The 20,369-nt window shown below is 38.5% G+C and overlaps 1 protein-coding gene across 1 annotated transcript in view; it reads left to right on the forward strand.

Moving 5' to 3' along the window:
• FAM117B (family with sequence similarity 117 member B) overlaps positions 1-20,369 on the forward strand; it is a 134,789-nt gene that overhangs the window by 101,536 nt on the left and 12,884 nt on the right. Inside the window, exon 5 of the mRNA NM_173511.4 lies at positions 19,034-19,177. Within this exon, the coding sequence (NP_775782.2) occupies positions 19,034-19,177 (144 nt within the window). The remainder of the gene's footprint in view (positions 1-19,033; positions 19,178-20,369) is intronic.

Here is a 20,369-nt window from a genome sequence, read left to right on the forward strand (position 1 = left end):
AATCCCAGCACTTTGGGAGTTCGACGTAGATGGATCACTTGAGCCCAGGAGTTCGAGACCAGCCTGGGCAACCTGGTGAAACCCTGTCTCATCAAAATATACAAAAAATTAGCCAGGTGTGGTGGCACATACCTGTAGTCCCAGCTACACAGGAGGTTGAGGTGGGAGAATCACCTGAGCCAGGGAAGTCAAGGCTGCAGTGAGCCGTTATTGCCCCTACCGCACTCTAGCCTGGACAACAGAGGGAGACCCTGCTTTAGTCCATCAATCAGCAATCAGCCAATCATCAGTTTTCACCTCCCTTTGGTTGTATTAGGGTTTCTGGCTCATTTTTCTCTCATGAAACTCTGTTGAATTCCTGTATAGACCTTTCTCCATCCTACTTGCCTATCAAAGCACATTTTCATAAAAAAAAAAATTAATGCTATATCTCTTTCCCCTACTCAGCTACTGCTTATCACCAGTGTACCACAGATGAGCCAATGCTAGGCTGCTGATGGGACTTGTGGGAAGTGAGGGAAGTTGTTGGCTTTTAGCATTAAAATGAAAGGAGTCAAAAACAGCAACTCTAAAAGACAGGAAGCTGACTGGGCTAGTCAGTTGACTTCATCTATAACAGGTACACCTAACTTTTAAGGTATACCTAAGTCATACGTGGACTGAATTAAAAAAAAAAAATTCTTCCCACATTTTATTATTTACTTCAGCATGTAACTGTCTCTAGGAAAGGACCTAAAGAGACAATATTAGGCAGGTAAAGATATGACCCTGTCATCTTTTTCCTCTATTTTTTTCAATTATTGTATAATAAAATGGACATTTTTGATTGTACAATTTATTAATTTTAACATATATGTAGATTATACCACCACCACTATAGTCAAGATAAAACATTCCCTCATTCTTTTCCTTTGTATACATGCTTCCCCCATCCCTAATCTCTTGTAAGCACTGCTCTGTTCTCCATCACTCTAACCCTCTCTTTTTGGGAATGACATATAAATGGAATCATACAGTATGTAATCGTTTGAGACTGTCTTCTTTCACTCAACGATAGTGCCCTTGCATTTCCTCTAAGTAGTTGTGTGTATCAATAGTTTAACTTTTTTTTTTTTGAGACAGAGTCTCGCTCTGTAGTCTAGACTGGAGTGCAGTGGCGTGATCTTGGCTCACAGCAGCCTCTGCCTCTTGGGTTCAAGCGATTTTCCCGCCTCAGCCTCCCGAGTGGCTGGTACTACAGGCACACACCACCACGCCCAGCTAATTTTTGTATTTTTCGTAGAGACAGGGTTTCACTATGTTGGCCAGGCTGGTCTTGAACGCTTGACCTCAGGTGATCTGACCACCTCGACCTCCCAAAGTGCTGGGATTACAGGCATGAACCACTGTGCCCGGCCAGTTTATTCCTTTTAGTTGCTAAATAGTATTCCATTACATGGATTTCCCACAATGTAGCTATTGATATTAAATTCTTGTTGAAGGACATCTCATCTTGATTTTAATTTGCATTACCCTAATGAACATCTTTTCATATGGTTATTTGCCATCTGTGTATCCTGTTTGGTGAAGTGTCTATTCAAATCATTTGCCTATTTTCAAATGTGGTTGGTTGTTGTTATTAGTTTTGAGAGCTTATTAGACATTCTGGATAAAAGTCCTTTGTTGGGTAAGTTACAGATACTTTTTCCCAGTCTCAACTTGTCTTTTGTTCTCTTACTGTCTTTCACAGAGCAAACATAAAAAAATTTTGTTGGCAGTATATTATTATTTTCTTTTATGGGGATTACTTTTGGTGTCATATCTAAGGTAGTCTTTAAAGAAACAACTTTCAGTCTTGAATCAGAACAACCTACTTATAATTATCACAGAAGATCACAAGACTTCATTTTTCTGTCAACTCAAGTTTGTGGAAGTGAGGACATCTTTAAGGGAAATGGAGAATTTATAAAAAAAGAAGACATCAGTTCAGACTATCTTAAATAAATATATTTCTGAATTATCTAAGATTAGTGAAGTACTCATTTTAGAAAATTTCTGATTATCAAAGGATAGGAAACTACTTTTAGAAGAATTGAAAATTTCAAAAGATAAAAATTAAGAATCACATACTCTCACTGTATAGGGATAACTTTTCAATATTTGGGGGCATTTTAAATTTGGTAGGATGTAAGTTTAGTCCTGATTCTGTGACCCTAGATTATTAGCTTCTCAGAGTCTCATTTTTTCAATGTAAAATGGGGGTAGTAACTGCCTATTTTTATAGAGAGAGCTTTTGTAAAAGTAAATAAAATAATGTATATAAACTGCTTAGAGCAATGCCTAGCACATATTAAGTGCTTAATAAGTGCTACTTACTCTATAAAACAAAATGGAGCTTCAGTCTTTTTATAAAACCTTATGTCGGCCAGGTGTGGTGGCTCACGCCTGTAATCCCAGCACTTCGGTAGGCTGAGGTGGGTGGGACACTTGAGGTCAGGAGTTTGAGACCAGCCTAGCCAGTATGGTAAAACCTTGTCTGTATTAACAATACAAAAATTAGCCAGGCATGTTAGCACATACCTGTAATCCCAGCTACTCAGGAAGCTGAGGCAGGAGAATTGCTTGAACCCAGGAGGTGGAGGTTGCAGTGAGCTGAGATCATGCTGCTGCACTCCAGCCTGGATGACAGAGTGAGACTCTTGTCTCAAAACAACAACAACAAAAATCCCCATATGTTCTGTTGTTTTCTTTGTCCCTAACTTTGAATGTTAATATTTTGTTAACATTGTTGAGGTTGTCCAAAGCATCATTTTTAATGGTCCTGTGGTATATCATATTATGGATATTCTATGCTTTTCTATGCCTGCTTTCTTCCTTTCCTTTTCCTTTTCCCTTTTCCTTCCCTTTCCGTCTGTCTTTCTGTCTGTCTTCCTGTCTGTCTGTCTGTCCTTCCCTCCCCTCCCCTCCCCTCCCTCCCTCCCTCGATCCCTCCCTTCCTTCCTAGGGTTTCACTCTGTCACCCAGGCTAGAATGGAGTGACCATGTCACTGCAGCCTCAACCTCCTGGGCTCAAGTGATCCTCCCACTTCAGCCTCCTAAGAAGCTGGGACCACAGGCGTGTGCCACCATGCCCGGCTGATATTTAAAATTTTTTATAGAGACTGGGTCTCCCTGTGTTGCCCAGCCTGGTCTCGAAGTCTGGTCCTTAAGCAGTCCTCCCTCGGACTCAGCCTCCCAAAGTCCTGGAATTACAGGTGTGAACCACTGTATCTGGCCTCTCTATTGTTAATTGTTCTTATTTTTCCATTTTTCATTAATATATACCATTGAGATGAACAATGAAAAATGTGTCATGTCCAAATTGTTTTTCAGATTAAAAGACAGCAAATTTAAAATTAAGTATTTAGGTTGGGCATGGTGGCTCACACCTGTAATCTCAGCACTTTGGGAGGCTGAGGTGGGTGGATCACTTGAGGTCAGGAGTTTGAGACCATCCTGGCTAACATGGTGAAACCCTGTCTCTACTAAAAATATAAAAAATTAGCCAGGCGTGGTGGCGGGCGCCTGTAGTCCCAGCTACTTCGGAGGCTGAGGCAGGAGAATGGCGTGCACCCAGGAGGTGGAGCTTGCAGTGAGCCAAGATTGCATCACTGCACTCCAGCCTGGAGGACAGAGCGAGACTTCATCCCCCAAAAAAAAAAAAAAAAAAAAAAAAAAAATCCCCAAATTAGCCGAGTGTGGTGGCAAACACCTTTAATCCCAGCTACTCGGGAGGGTGAGGCATGAGAATCACTTGAACCTGTGAGTCGGAGGTTGCAGTGAACCAAGATCACACTACAGCACTTCAGGCTGGGCAACAGAACGAGACTCTGCCTCAAAAAAAAAAAAAAAAAAAAAGTATTTAATTTTTATCATGACTAACACTTCAGTAATAAAAGATCTAATATGGCACTTTTTAATATATAGTTATTGAATTCTAGAATATAGTGGTTGCTTTGCATTATTACTGTATATAGTGTATTTGTGCTTATTTTATAGTTTATGGAGCAAAATTTAGTATATTAAGCCATTTTTGCATCTTAACCAGCTGCTGCCTAATTATTACAGGAAAATAGTGTGGAAGTTCAGCTATTCTAAATCTAAAATAATTGGTTTTGGTACATATTCTCTAACCTTTAGATGGTCTGTAGCTATTGAGCCATATATGACATTCTTTTACCTTGCAGTGAATTTCATAGCTTGTTCATATTGGGGAAGTTGTACATGGAAGTCATATTGCTTGAAGGTAGATAATTTAATGGCTATGGAGGTCATTTGACTGTACCTGCTTTAAAATTTCTCTAGTTACAAAAAGAATCATATGAATATCTACATTGATACAAAAAAAAAGCCCTTGGGAAATGTCCATGTATGTAGAAATACTCAAGAACATTAAAATAAGGAAAACTTTCTTAATATGATCACACACATACACACACTTCTGTTTACCTTAAGATCCCATGCTATTTAATGGGGAAACATGAGAGATACTTCCACTAGGATGAGGAACAAGGCAAGGATTCTTACCATCCCTACTTCTGTTTACATTGTACTAGTGGTATTAACTAATACAGTTAGAAAAGAGAAGTCAGTTAGAGCCATTAGAATTGGTGATGAACGCCAGGCGCGGTGGCTCATGCCTTAATCCCAGCACTTTGGGAGGCTAAGGCAGGCGGATCACGAGGTCAGGAGATCAAGACCATCCTGGTCAACATGGTGAAACGCCATCTCTACTAAAATACAAAGGATTAGCCAGGAGTGGTGGTGTGTACCTGTAGTCCCAGCTACTCAGGAGTCTGAGGCAGGGGAATCACTGAACCCGGGAGGTGGAGGTTGCAGTGAGCCAGATCATGCCACTGCACTCTAGCCTGGTGACAGAGCAAGACTCTGTCTCAAAAAAAAAAAAAAAAAAAAAAAAAAAAAAGAATTGGTGATGAAGAAATAAAACTCCCTTTCAGATAATATGATAGTATATCTAGTTGGAAAACCTCCGAGAATCAATAAAACCAATGAAAAAAAATTTTTTTTTTTTGAGACGGAGTCTTGCTCTGTTGCCCATGCTGGAGTGCAGTGGCGCGATCTCGGCTTACTGCAAGCTCCGCCTCCTGGGTTGATGCCATTCTCCTGCCTCAGCCTCCCAAGTAGCTGGGACTACAGGCGCCCGCCACCTCGCCTGACTGATTTTTTGTATTTTTAGTAGAGACGGGGTTTCACCGTGTTAGCCAGGATGGTCTCGATCTCCTGACCTCGTGATCCACCTGCCTTGGCCTCCCAACCTGGGATTACAGGCTTGAGCCACCGCGCCTGGCCAGTGAAAATTTTTGTATGACTGCAGTCCATAGCATTAACAAGCTAAAATCAATACCATTTATATATACAAACAGCAACCAGCTAGAAGACATAATGGAAAATAAATTCCAATTTACAGTAGCAGCAAAAACAACTAAATACTTAAGAATGAAATTAATAAGTACTACACAATCTACATGGGGAAAATTAAGAACACTTTTGAAAGATACAAAGCAGACCTGTACAAATGTAAAATGTGTTACTCTTGGATAGGATGAGTTAATATAATACTTTCTAATTTAATTTATAAATTTAACACAATCCCAATAAAAATATCAGTAAGCTTTTTTACAGCATTAGAAAAGTTGCTACTAATAGAACTTGCTACGTAAAGCTCATAGGGAAAAGTAAATATGTGAGTATAACCAGCAAAGCTGTGAAAAGGAAAAACTATGAGGGCAGCTAGCGTTACCAGATGTCAAAACATACTATAAAGCCTTTACAAGTAAAGCAATGTGCTACTGGTACATGAATTGACAAACTGATCAGAGGAATGACTAGAAAGCCCAAAAATTGACTCAAGTACATACAGAAATTTACTGTATGGTAAAGGCATCTCAAATCACTGGTCAGAGATGAACTTTTGAATTACTAGCACTGGGACAAGTCGTAGCCATTTATAAAAAGAATGAGACCACACCATATACAAAAACAACCTCTAAATGGATTAAGGATCTAAATGTAAACAACAAAACCATGTAAGTATTAGAAGACATTAGTGAATTCTTCTGTAATCTCAGCAGAAAAAAAAGATTTCTATGACTCAAAATTCATAATCAACAAAAGGTTGATAAGTTTAATTATATAAACATTTTTGTATGGCAGAAAACATTATAAACCAAGTATAAAAACTGAAAAAACAGAAAATATTCACAACATATACCACAGACACAAAGGGCTAATAACCCTCGTATAAAGAACTCTCAAAAATTGAGGGAAATGATGCTACCAGTGCATGCATGCACCCTCCAGTGGCATAAGGATGGCCCTTGCCTGCCACCAGCCCCCACAAGCACCTCTTGGGAGTCTGAGGATTGGCCCATGCAGCCTGCTGCTGCCACTGAGTCACACAAACCACCTCGGGGCCTGGAGACTGACCTACTCAGTCCACCACTGCTACTGCACTGCCAACACCACACACAATGCCCAGAGTCCTGAGGACCCACCTGCCCAGCTCACCACTGGCACCTGAGCATGCCACATGGAAACCCAAGGACTAGCTTACCCAGACCCACCAATACTGGTGCTTGTCTGTGCCACCCAGGGGTCTAAGGACCAGCACACCAGGCCCACTGCCACCACTGCTGATGCCTGAGGACTAGCCTGGCTAGTATTCCTGTACCCTGCAAAGCCTTACCACAGCCTTCACTGACAACTCCAGCTTAAGCTGCTGAGAAACTCAGAGACACCACTGTTGCTGATTATGGCCAAAGAAATCATATAGAGACTACACTACTGCACCCACCCAGAATCAAAGACAAAGCTACCCAAGCAACGCAACAGATAAATCTATAGGAAAAAGGCTTTCCCTATGAAAGCCAATTCAAAAAATTGGAGGAAGTGACTGTTATACTAAATGTACAAGTATTAATATAAGGATACAAGAAAAGTAGAAAAGCAAGGAACCATGGCATCTCCAGAGGAGCCCAATAATTCTTCAGTAACAGATCCCAAAGAAAAGGAGATTGGTGAAATTCCTGAAAAACAGTTCAAAACAGTGATATCAAAGAAACTCAATGACATACAAAAGAACACAAACAATACAAAGAATCAGGAAAATAATTTATTTGAATGAGTAATTGAATAAAAGAGATAGATAGATTAAAAAGAACCAAACAAATCATGGAGCTGAAGAAATCAAAGAATGAAATAAAAATTCAGTTGAGAGCTTTAGCAATAGACTAGATCAAGCAAAAGAAAGAATTTCTCAACTTGAAGACAGGTCTTTTGAAACAATCCAGTCAAAAAAGAATAAAAAGGGATGACAAAGCCTCTGTGACATATAGGAAGCAACAAGCAACCAAGTATTTGAGTTTTGAGACTTCCAGAAGAAGAGATGGTCAAAGGCATCGAAAACCTATTGAGTGAAGTAATAGCTGAAAACTCCCTCAGTCTTACAAGAGATATGGATATACAGATACAGGAAGTTCAAAGATCCCCAAATAGATTTAACCCAAAAAGGTCTTCTCCAAGTCATATTATAGTCAAACTGTCAAAAGTCAAAGACAGAATTCCAAAAACAAGAGAGAAGTGTCAAGTCACATGTAAGAGAATCCCCGTCTGTCTTAGTTCGTTTGTGTTTCTGTAAAAGAATACCCAAGGCTGGTTTATTTATAAAGGTAAGGGTTTTATTTGGCTTGTGGTTCTGTAGACTGTCCAGAACCTCAGACTGCATCCACTCATGGCGGAAGGTGAAGGGGAGCCAGTGTGTGCAGAGATAACATATCAAGTGAGGAAGCAAGAGAGATAGAGGCATGGTGCCAGACTCTTTTTAACCTCCAGCTATTGCAGGAACTAACGGAGTGAATTCACTTCTTCCCTAGAGAAAAGTATTAATCTATTCATGAGAAATCTGCCTCCATGTCCCAAACACTTCCCGTTACGCCCCACCTTCAATATTGTGCATCAGATTTCAACATGAGGTTTGGAGGAACAAACATCCCAATGATAGCACCATCAGACTAATAGTAAGTTTTTCAGCCAAAACTTTACAGGCCAGGAGAGAATGGGATGATATATTCAAAGTGCTGAAAGAAAAAAGACTGCTAGCCAAAAATATTTTACCCAGGAATAATATCCTTCAAAAATAAAGGAAAGTTGGCTGGGCATGGTGGCTCACGCTTGTAAATCCCAGCACTTTGGGAGTACAAGGTGGGCAGATCACCTGAGATCAGGAGTTCGAGATCAGCCTGGCCAACATGGCAAAACCCCATCTCTACTAAAAATACAAAAAAAATTAGCTGGGCATGGTGGCAGGTTCCTGTAATCCCAGCTACTCGGGAGTCTGAGACAAGAGAATCACTTGAACCCGGGAGGCAGAGGTTGCAATGAGCCAAGATTGCGCCACTGCACTCCAGCCTGGGTGATAGAGTGAGACTCTGTCTCAAAAAAAAAAAAAAAAAAAAAAAGGCTGGGCATGGTCTTTCATGCCTGTAATCCTAGCACTTTGGGAGGCTGAGGCAGGCAGATCTTGTGGTCAGGAGTTTGAGACCAGCCTGGCCAACATGACAAAACCCTGTCTCTACTAAAAATACAAAAATTAACTGGGCGTGGTGGTGCACTCCTGTAGTCCCAGCTACTCAGGTGGCTGAGGCATGAGAATCTCTTGAACCCAGGAGGCAGAGGTTGCAGTGAGTGGAGATTGTGTCACTGCACTCCATCTTGAGTGACAGAGTGAGACTCTGTGTCAAAAAAAAAAAAAAGGCAAAATAAGTCTTTTCTAGACAGGCAAGAACTGAGGGAATTAATCACCACTAGGTCAGCCCTACAAGGAATACTTAAGCAAGTCCTACATCTGGAAATGAAAGGAGGATATCTACCATCATGAAAACACACAGACATGTAAAATTCACTGGTTGAGCAGACATAAATCAGAAAGAGAAAGTCAAATATTATCACTACAAGAAGCCCACCACATCTAAAGGTAAACAATAAAAGAGGAAGAAAGGAACAAAGGATATACAAAACAATCAAAAAAACAATTAAAGTGACTGACAGGAGTAAGTTCTTACCTATCAACAACAACCTTGAATGTAAATGGCTTTAATTAGAAGATGTAGACTGGCTGAATGGGTAATAAAATAAGAACCATTAGTATGCTGCCTGCAAGAAACTCACTTCCCCTGTAAAAACACATATTGATTTAAAGTGAAGGGATGGAAAAGGCTATTCCACGCAAATGGAAACCAAAAGTATGCAGGATTCGCTGTATTTGTATAACACAAAATAGACATCAAGTCAAAAACCAAAAAGACAAAGAAGGTTATTATATGTAATGATAAAGGGATTAATTCAGCAAGAGGATATAACAATTGTAAATATATATGCACCTTACACCAGAGCACCAAGTGTATAATGCAAACAGTGTTAGAGCTTAAAGAGAGAAATAGACCCCAATGCAATAATAGTTGGAGACTTCAAGACCTCACTTTCAGCATCAAACAGATCATCTATATAGAAAGTCAAGAAAGAAACATTGCACTTAATCTGCACTGTAGGTCAAATTGAACTAATAGACATTTACAGAATTTTTCATCCAATAGCTACAGAATACACATACACATATCAGCACATGGAACATTCTCCAGGATAGACCATATGTTAGGCCCCAAAACATATCTCAACAAATTTTTAAATATTGAAGTTATCAAGTATCTTCTCATACCACAGACTAGAACTAGGAATCACAGACTAGAACTAGGAATCAGTAACAAGAAGGAAATTTGGAAACTGTGCAGATACATGGAAGTTAACATGCTCCTCAATGACCATTGGTCAATGAAGAAATAAAGGAAATAAAAAAAAATTTCTTGAAGCAAATGAAAATGCAAGTACAACATACCAAAACCTATGAGATACAGTATAAGAATTGCTAAGAGGAAAGTATATACCAATAAATGCCTCCATTAAAAAAAAAGATTTCAAATAAACAATCTGAAGAGTGTACCTCAAGGAACTAGAAAAGTAAGAACAAACCAAACCGAAAAGTATTAGAAGAAAGATTATTAAAGATAAGCGTGAACAACTATACACTAACAAATTGGAAAACCTAGAGGAAATGGGTAATTTCATTGACACATACAGCCTACCAAGATTGAACCAGGAAATAGTAGAAAACCTGAACAAACCATGTTACTGGTTATGAGATTGAATCAGTAATAAAAATTGTCCCAACAAAGAAAAGCCCAGAACTAAATGGTTTTACTGCTGAATTTTAACAGACATAAAATAGAACTAGCACCAGTTCTTCTCAAACTATTGCAAACAATTATAGAGGAAGGAGTTTCTCCTAACTCATTTTATGAGGCCAGCATTACCCTGTACCAAAACCAGACACAGGCACAACAGCCACCACCGGAAAAAAAAACAAAACAAAAAAAAACACAAAAACCCACTATGGGCCAGTATCCCTATTGAACATAGATGCAAAAATCCTGAGCAAAATACTGGCAAACCAGATCTAACAACACATCAAAAAGGTAATATAGCAAGATTAAGTGGGATTTATTCCAGTGATGCAAAGATGGTTCAACATAGACAAATCAATAAATGTGATATATCACATCAACAGAATGTAGGACAAAAACCAACAATCATTGTAATAGATACAGAAAAACCATGTGATAAAATTCAGCACTCATCCATGGTAAAAACTCTCAACAAATTAGGCATAGAAGGAAAATACCTTGACATAATAAAAGCAATAGGTGACAAACCCACAGCTAAATTGTACTGAATGGGGAAAAGCAGAAAGCCTTTCCTCTAAGAACTGAAACACGACAAGGGTGCCCATTTTCACCAGTTATTCAGTATAGTACTGGGGGTCCTAGCCAGAGCAACCAGATGAAAGAAAAAAAAGGCATCCAAACTGGAAGACAGAAAGTCAAATTTTTCTTTACAAATGACATGATCTTATATATGGAAAAACCTACCCATTCCAATTTATCTGTACATAAAATAAGAACCAAAAGACTACAAAAAAAATCACAAAACTGATAAATGAATTTACTAAAGTCGCTGGATACAAAGTCAATATATAAAAATGAGTAGTGTTTCTATACACTCACAGTGAACTAGCTAAAAAAGAAATAAAGAAAGCAATTCAGGTTACAATAGCTAAAAAAGAACAACAATAAAAAACCCTGAGAATAAATTTAACCAAGGAAATGAAAGATATCTACAACAAAAACTGCAAACACTAATGAAAGAAATTGAAGAGGACACAAATGGAAAGATATCCTATGTTCATAGGAAGAATTCATGTTGTTAAAATGACCATACTATCCAAAGCAATCTATAGATTGATTGCAATTAAAATATTAATTGTTTATGTTAAAGTACCAATGACATTCTTCACAGAAATAGAAGAAACAATCCTAAGATTTGAATGGAACCACAAAAGTCCCCAAATAGAGCCATACAAAGCAAAAAGAACAAAGCTAGAGGCATCATACTACCTGACTTCAAAATATATTACACAAAGCTATAGTCATCCAAACAGCATGGATCCACGGAACAGAATAAAGAACCCAGAAATAAATTCATGCATTTCAGCCAGCTGATTTTTCACAGAAGTGCTAAGAACATACACTGGAGGAAAGAACATCTTCAATAAATAGTGCTGGGAAAACTGATTTATGCAGAAGGATGAAAGTAGACCATTATCTCTTACCACATATAAAAATCGACCTAAAATGGATTAAAGCCTTAAAGGTAAGACCCAAAACTACAAAACTCCTGGAAGAAAACATAGGGGAAATGTTTCAGCACATTGGTCTAGGCAAAGATTTTATGGCTAGGACTACAAAAGCCTAGGTAACAAAAAAATATATACAAATGAGACTATATTAAATTTAAAAGCTTCTGTACAGCAAAGGAAACAACAGAGTGAAGAGAAAACCTGTTGAATGGAGGAAAATATTTGCAAACTATTCATCCAACAAGGAACTAACATCGAGAATCTTCAAGGAACTCAATAGCAAAAAACAACAACAACAAAGAATCCCATTAAAAAATGGGCAATCTGACTAGACATTTCTTAGAAGAGACAGATTAAATGTCTGACTAGACATTTCTCAAAAAAAGACATAGATTAAATGGCCAACAAATATATATTTTAAAAAGTTCATCTTTACTAGTCATCAGGGAAATGCAAATCAAATCCAAATCCATAATGAGATATCACCTCACCCCTGTTAGAATGGCTGTTATCAAAAAGACAAAAATTAACATATCAAAGGGATACCCTGCGCTCACATGTTTATCGTAGCCACTCTCGGTAGCCATTGTATGGAATCAACCTAAGTGCCCATCAACAGTTGAATGAATAAAGAAAAATGTGGTTGTGTGTGTGCGTGTACATGTGTATACATAACTGATGAGTATTTCATTGTGTATTCTACAATATAAAAACTGAAGGAATGAGAGCACTGGTAGTTTATGAAACTTAGCAAAGGTTTAGAAAAAATAAATCCAATTTAGAGAGTTTCATGAAACATATATATTCATAGAGTGCAGATAAAAATGTGAGGAGTAAAAATATTTTACTATTTGGTTTGGCATTATGAATCAAAGTCCTGAAAAATCTTTACTATCCTTTATGTCCCCCCAGGAAAATAGCTCCTCACCCCAGGAATTTATTCTAAGGAAGTATTTACATATGTGTGCAAATAATTGTCTAGGAGGATGTGCATGACAGTATGGTTCTGTAATAGTGAAAAATTGAAAACTATTTGTTTAATAGAGCATTGATTTCTTAAGTAATGCCCTCATAAAAAAATTATGCAACTATAAAAATGATTTGGTTAAACGTTTTAAAGCATAGAGATAGGTTACAGGTCTGGTATAATGTTAAAAAAAAAAAACCACTGGGTTCAGAACACTAGGTACGATCTGTTTCTGGTTAAAAGTGTATATGTATATAGAAGAAAAAGGACTAGATAGAAGAGTTTTTATAAAATTATTAATAGTTGTTATCTCTGGTGATTGACATGTATTTAATTTTCTTTCTTCACTGAATATTTTTTTTACTTTTGCAATAAAGAAAACAATGGCAGTCCAGGCACAGTGACTCATGCTTGTAATCCCTGTACTTTGGGAGGTCAAGGCTGGGAGGATCACTTGAGGCCAGGAGTTTGAGACCAGCCCGGGCAACATAGTGAGACCCTATCTCTAATTATATTTTTAAAATTATTTAAATAAAAAAAGAGTAAACAATGAAGTTAAAAATAGTTTCTCAGGGCAGACTTTTTATGGACATATTCAAGTTCTCTGGATCACTATATCTCTGGCTTATGTTTAAGTATGTTCTTAAGTCTATTGAAAACTGTAGAAATAAAAAAAATTAAAGGTGAGTGTATTAGTCTCTTCAGGCAGCCATAACAAAATATTATGCATAGACTACGTGACTTTACACAACAGAAATTTATCTTCCAGTTCTGGAGACTCTTAAGTGCAAGATCAAGGTGCCAGCAGGGTTGGTATTTGGTTGAGGGTTCTCCCCTTGGGTTGCAGACAGCTCCCTTCTTGCTGTGTGCTTATATGAGCTCTTCGTGTGCATGGGAATGGGAGGTGACTCTCTGGTGTCCTCTTGGACCGGGGCTGCCTCCCCCATATGACCTAATTTAAACTTTACTGCTGAGTGGGCACAGTGGCTCATGTTTGTAATGTCAGCACTTTGAGAGGCTGAGGCTGTCTGATTGCTTGAGCCCAGGAGTTTGAGGCCAGCCTGGGCAACATGGTAAAACCCTGTCTCTACCAAAAAAGTACAAAAATTAGCCAGGCATGGTGGCATGTGCCTGTAATCCCAGCTACTCGGGAGGCTGAGGTGGGAGGATCGCCTGAGGCCAGGAGGCAGAGGTTGTAGTGAGCCAAGATCATGCCACTGCACTCCAGCCTGGGCAACAAGGTGAGACCCTGTCTCAAACAACAACAACAAAACAAAACTCAACTACTGCCTTAGATGCCCCATGTCCAAATACAGCCACATTGGCAGTTAGGGCTTCAACATATGATTTTGGGGGGACACACACATCCATATACCAGCCTTGTTGAACAAGCATCTTATATGTTCTAGGCTCTGTGCTTGGCAGTGGCACTAAAGAGATTAATAAGACATAGTTTCTCTCCTCAGGTTAATTGTAGAAAAATAATCCAAAAGAAAAAAATACCACCTCTGTTCCCAGGTGTAGCTTGCTTCTGATATTTTGGGGAAATAGTCTTTTTTTCTGGGTGAAATATAAATCTGTGTGTGTGTCTGTTTTATACGCATGCATTGGCTTTTGGTTGAATAAACATGAAGGGGCAAAGGAAGAATGTTCTTTTCACTTCCTGCTTTTGTGAAATATCTGGCGTATATGAAACTTTTGTTCCAGTAGGTAGAACAGAAAATGTTGAGAAATTAGGTGTGTAGGTTTCTAGAGAGAAATTATAGAATTTATTCTATAAACATAGAATTTATGTTTATATTTGAGGAAAGGGAAAATCAAAAAATATAAGGGCTAAACCCTTGAAGACATATAGATAAGCTTTAGTCCCATAATTTTCTGTTTGCAAATTTGCAAAATTATTTTACAATTCACCTAAAAATTGCATCATTCTTTACAGATCACTCTGTGTTACTTGAAGTTTATAGCTCAGCTGACTACTGCAGGTTACATCAGAAATTTGAGTTTTTATACCTATGGAGTGTTAGTGACTTAAAGTTTTATTGTCTGACCAGTACTTGATTTATGACATTGATTGTGCTTTAGCCACCCACTAAACTGTATATAGAGTTGTCACCGCTTATGAAAGCTGAAAGGGTCTAACCAGGACAAGTGTTCACATCAAATGAACTAGACTAAGAGAATAGATCTATGGATATGGCTAAGATCTTCCTCAAAAAAATAGTTTTGAGGCTGGACACAGTGGCTCACGCCTGTAATCCCAGCACTTTGGGAGGTCCAGGTGGTGGATCACCTGAGGTCAGGAATTTGAGACCAGCCAGGCCAACGTTGCGAAACCTCATCATCTCTACTAAATATACAAAAATTTAGCTGGGCGTTGTCGCGGGTGCCTGTAATCCCAGCTACTCGGGAGGCTGAGGCACAAGAATCACTTGAACCCGGGAGGCTGTGGTTGCAGTGAGCTGAGATTGCACCACTGCACTCCAGCCTAGGAGACAGACCGAGACTCCATCTCAAAAAAAAAAAAAAAAAAAAAAATAGGTTTTGACAATTGTATATCTGTGCACCAAAGATCTGAGCTATGGAGAGTGGCTCAAAAATATAAGTTGAATTTTTAAAAATTATATAAATTTTCTCTATAAAACACTTATAGAACACCCAAACTTAAAATTTTCTTTCCTTTGGTAGTGGATGCTGAGAATGGAAAAGGGATCAGAAAGAAGAGATGGAAGTAAAGGGAATAAGTAATACAGAAGCTTGAGGCTGTGGGGAATGTGGGAACAGAGGGACTTATAAAAAGGGAAAAATTAGGAGACACTATATGTGAAAGAAAATAAGTGACACTTGAAAAAAATGTGAAAAGATAATTATTTTAAGAATAAAATACATAATAGGGAAAATACAAAATAAAAATTGCAGCTACTGTTTTCTGAGCATTCATGCTTTAGACGCCAGGCACCATACCAGGTTTCCTGTCATTTCATCTTTAAAGCCATGAGGTAGGTTTCTGTGTCCTGTGTTACATATGAGGACCCAACACTAACTGAGCAGTGGAGACATCCTCTCTCAGCACTTCTGCGTGGAGCTTCCCCTTGGCCTTTTTTAATCACAGATTTCTTGTGTTTGCCAAGGATTCTTGTTGTATTTATTATGCTTTTTCTTTTTTTTTTTTTTTTCCAGTTCTGAAGGGGAGCAGGAATAAAAGGAGAAATAGAGATTTAACACTAAGTTCTGTATCAGACAGCAAGATTATCAGGGAATAAAACTGATGGTCATTGATTAGAATCATTTCTAATCAGTGTTACCTTTGTCTTCCTTTGTCTTTGTCTGTTACCTTTGTCTTCTTGCCCACCTCTTCCTGAAAGAGGTTTTCCAAAGAAACTTTCCTAAATGAAGGATAGGTTAATCACATTTCTTTGCTAGACAGCAGAAGAATCTGCAAGATGTTTATCTGGCACACTGATGTTACTAGCTTTGGCGGATACCTCTGTTAATGCTTGTTTCATATTTTATTTTGAATATCTTGTCAGGAAACAAGTAATATCCTGTAATTATGTAACCAGATAGTTCTTTCCAAAAGTAATACTGTGACAATAAAAACATTTTTAATTTAAAAATCTCTACATAGATTTTGGAAGTGGTTCTGTTAAATAAATAAGTCATATTGTGAAAATGGCCATACTGCCCAAAGTAATTTATAGATTCAATGCTATTCCCATCAAACTACCATTGACATTCTTTACAGAATTAGAAAAACTATTTTAAATTTCATATGGAATCAAAGAAGACCCTGTATATAGCCAAGACAATCCTAAGCAAAAAGTACAAAGCTGGAGGCATCATGCTACCTGACTTCAAACTATACTATAAGGCTACAGTAACCAAAACAGCATGGTACTGGTACCAAAGCAGACATATAGACCAACGGAGCAGGACAGAGACCTTAGAAATAACACCACACATCTACAACCATCTGATCCTTGACAAACCTGACAAAAACAAGCAATGAGGAAAGGATCTCCTATTCAGTAAATGGTGCTAGGAAAACTGGCTAGCCATATGCAGAAAACTGAAACTGGACCTCTTCCTTATACCTTATACAAAAATTAAGATGGATTAAAGACTTAAATGTAAAACCCAAAAGCATAAAAACCCTAGAAGAAAACCTAGGCAATACCATTCAGGACACAGGCATGGGCAAAGACTTCATGACAAAAACACCAAAAGCAATTGCAACAAAAGCCAAAATTGACAAATGGGATCTAATTAAGCTAAAGAGCTTCTGCTCAGCAAAAGAAACTATCATCAGAGTGAACAGGCAACCTACAGAATGGGAGAAAACTTTTGCAATCTACCCATCTGACAGAGGTTTAATATCCAGAATTTACAAGGAACTTAAACAAATTTACAAGAAAAAAGCAACCCCATCAAAAAATGGACAAAGGATATGAACAGACTCTTCTTAAAAGAAGACATTTACACGGCCAACAAACATGTAAAAAAAAAAAAACATGAAAAACTCAACATCACTGATCATCAGAGAAATGCAAATGAAAACCACAATGTGATACCATCTCACGCCAGTCAGAATGGCAATTATTAAAATAAGTCAGAAAACAATAGATGCTGGTGAGGCTGTGGAGAAATAGGAATGCTTTTACACTGTTGGTGGGAGTGTAAATTAGTTCAACGATTATGGAAGACAGTATGGCAATTCCTCAAGGATCTAGAACCAGAAATACCATTTGACCCAGCAATCCCATTACTGAATATATACCCAAAGGGTTATAAATCATTCTACTATAAAGACACATGCACATATGTGTTTATTGCAGCACTGTTTACAATAGCAAAGACATGGAACCAACTGAAATGCCATCAATGATAGACCAGATAAAGAAAATGTGGTACATATACTTCATGGAATACTATGCAGCCATAAAAAGGAATGAGATCATGTCCTTTGCAAGGACATGGATGAAGCTGGAAGCCATCATCCTTAGCAAACTAACACAAGAACAGAAAACTGAACACCGCATGTTCTCACTCATAAGTGGGAGTTGAACAATGAGAACACATGGGCACATAGAGGGGAACACACACCAGGGCCTGTTTGAGGTGGGAGGTGAAGAGAGGGAACTTAGAGGACTGGTCAATAGGTGCAGCAAACCACTATGGCACACGTGTACCTTTGTAACAAACCTGCATGTTCTGCACATGTATCTTATTTTTTTTAAGAAGAAACAAAAACAATAATAAACCCCCCCCAGAATATAAATAATTATATAGATTAATCTGTTCTCATGTTGCTGTAAATACCTGAGACTGGGTAATTTATAAAGAAAACAGGGGCTGTGCATGGTGGCTCACACCTGTAATCCCAGCACTTTGGGAGGCTGACATGGGCGGATCACAAGGTCAGGAGTTTGAGACCAGCCTGGCCAATATGGTGAAACCCCGTCTCTACTAAAAATACCAAAAAAATTAGCCAGGTGTGGTGGCGGGTGCCTGTAGTCCCAGCTACTCAGGAGGCTGAGGCAGAAGAGTCGCTTGAACATGGGAGGTAGAGGTTGCAGTGAGCCGAGATCACATCACTGTGCTCCAACCTGGGTGACAGAGTGAGATTCGTCTCAAAAAAAAAAAAAAAAAAAGAGGCTTAATTGACTAACAGTTCTGCAGGCTGTACAGGAAGCATGACGCTGGCATTTACTTGGTGTCCGGGGAGGCCTCAGGAAACTTAAATCATGGTGGAAGGCAAAGGGGGAAAGACACAGGTCACATGGCCAAGCAGGAGCAAGAGAGAGAAGTGGGAGGCGCTACACACCTTTAAACAACCAGATTTCGTAAGAACTCACAGTACTAAGAGGGACTGTGCTAAACCATTCATGAGAGATCCACCCCCATGATTTGGGTGAGACATCCAAACTGTATCATTGTGGCACTAGGAGAGTTTAAAGTTATATTCTGAAATCTGAGCTCTGTTACAGTCGTAAAAGAATTTCTGAGGTTGACATTCTTTTACTATATTTATTTATCCCTGTTCCCTTTGCAGTCGTTCACAGATGTGAATAAATGTTCAAAATCCTACCTTCATTGTGTGGGATTTGGGTTTTAAATTATATTTCATACATGCTAAGGAGCAGGTTTGGTCACTCACACTTTTTGTGAGGCCTGTAAACTTTGATTTATTTTTGAGTTACTTATGTCTGTTGGAATTACGCTTCAGCCTAGAAAATTAAAAGGTAATGTTAAGCCTCTCTTCTCCATCCCATTTTCTTAAGGCTCCTGTTCCAAAGAGTGCACTTATTCCTGTAATTCCCATCACCAAATCAACAGGCTCCCGGTTCCGGAATAGCGTGGAAGGATTGAATCAGGAGATTGAAATAATAATTAAAGAGACTGGGGAAAAGGAAGAGCAACTTATAGTAAGTGATCTTGTATCTTAAAATCATTCTTGAACTCTTATAATTATTAAAAATGCACAGTTTGGGTTTCCATATTTACTTGGGTTTCTTCCTTCTCATTGAGAGAGCAAAAATTTATCTCTTTTGAAAAATCTTTGACCTGGGTGAGTGAATGAAAAGTTTTCATTTTGTTGCATGTCATAGAGGCAACTGATCTGACTTGAATTTGGATTACTGAACAGAAACTATTTTTTGTTTGTCTGTATTTAGAAACCATTAGGTGATATACTTCTTATTTGCTGTAACTCCAGTTAACAAAAGTTTAGCTTACTAATTATGGGGGGCAGAAGTTTACATGACATTGAATACCTTCTAAGCATGAATCTGTCTGCTCCTTTTTTGAATGTCAGTGACTATTTGGTTTTGGTTGACATGCTAGGCTATGTCATCATAAAGTACATTTAGAAATTATCTGGCTGTGCACAGTGGCTCACACCTGTAATCCCAACACTTTGGGAGGCCAAGGTGGGCGGATCACCTGAGGTCAGGAGTTCAAGACCCATCTGGCCAACATGGTGAAACCCCGTCTCTACTAAAAGAATACAAAAATAAGCTGGGCATGGTGGTGCGTGCCTGTAATCCCAGCTACTTGGGAAGCAGGGAGAATCGCTTGAACCCGGGAGGTGAAGGTTGCAGTGAGCTGAGATCGAAAAAAAAAAAAATTCTGCCTATTCTCTTTACTGACTAGAATACACATGAGAATAGTTGCTATGTAAAACAGAAAAATTAACTGTTTTGGTTTAAAAACCATGCCACAGAGTATATTTATTTATCTAACCGTCTCTCTATTCTTTAGTGAAGGAGGAATTGAGTATTGTATTGATGCTTAAGATCCTCTCCCTTAAGATAAAAGGTTGGTTTAGCTTAGAGAAAATACAGCTCCCCACACCCTCTCCTCCATCCTGCTTGATGGGGTACAGATTCCCTGATGTAATAAAGGTAAATGAATCAAAGACGTGCAGGGAGTTGGTTTCCTTGCTAAGTGATCCACACAGGCTTTCCTCTGTGTGTGTACTTGATTTTCTCCCCATCAACAGCACTTCTGTGATTAACCTTTCCCCCATTTAGGAAGGTTGACTTGAAAAAATCCTTTCAGGGCGTGGCATCAGTGTTCCTGGTTCACATGATGAATAACCTTTTTCCTCTAATGTGG

This window comes from Homo sapiens, chromosome 2 (assembly GCF_000001405.40).
Source record: "Homo sapiens chromosome 2, GRCh38.p14 Primary Assembly".
Classification (NCBI taxonomy): domain Eukaryota; kingdom Metazoa; phylum Chordata; class Mammalia; order Primates; family Hominidae; genus Homo; species Homo sapiens.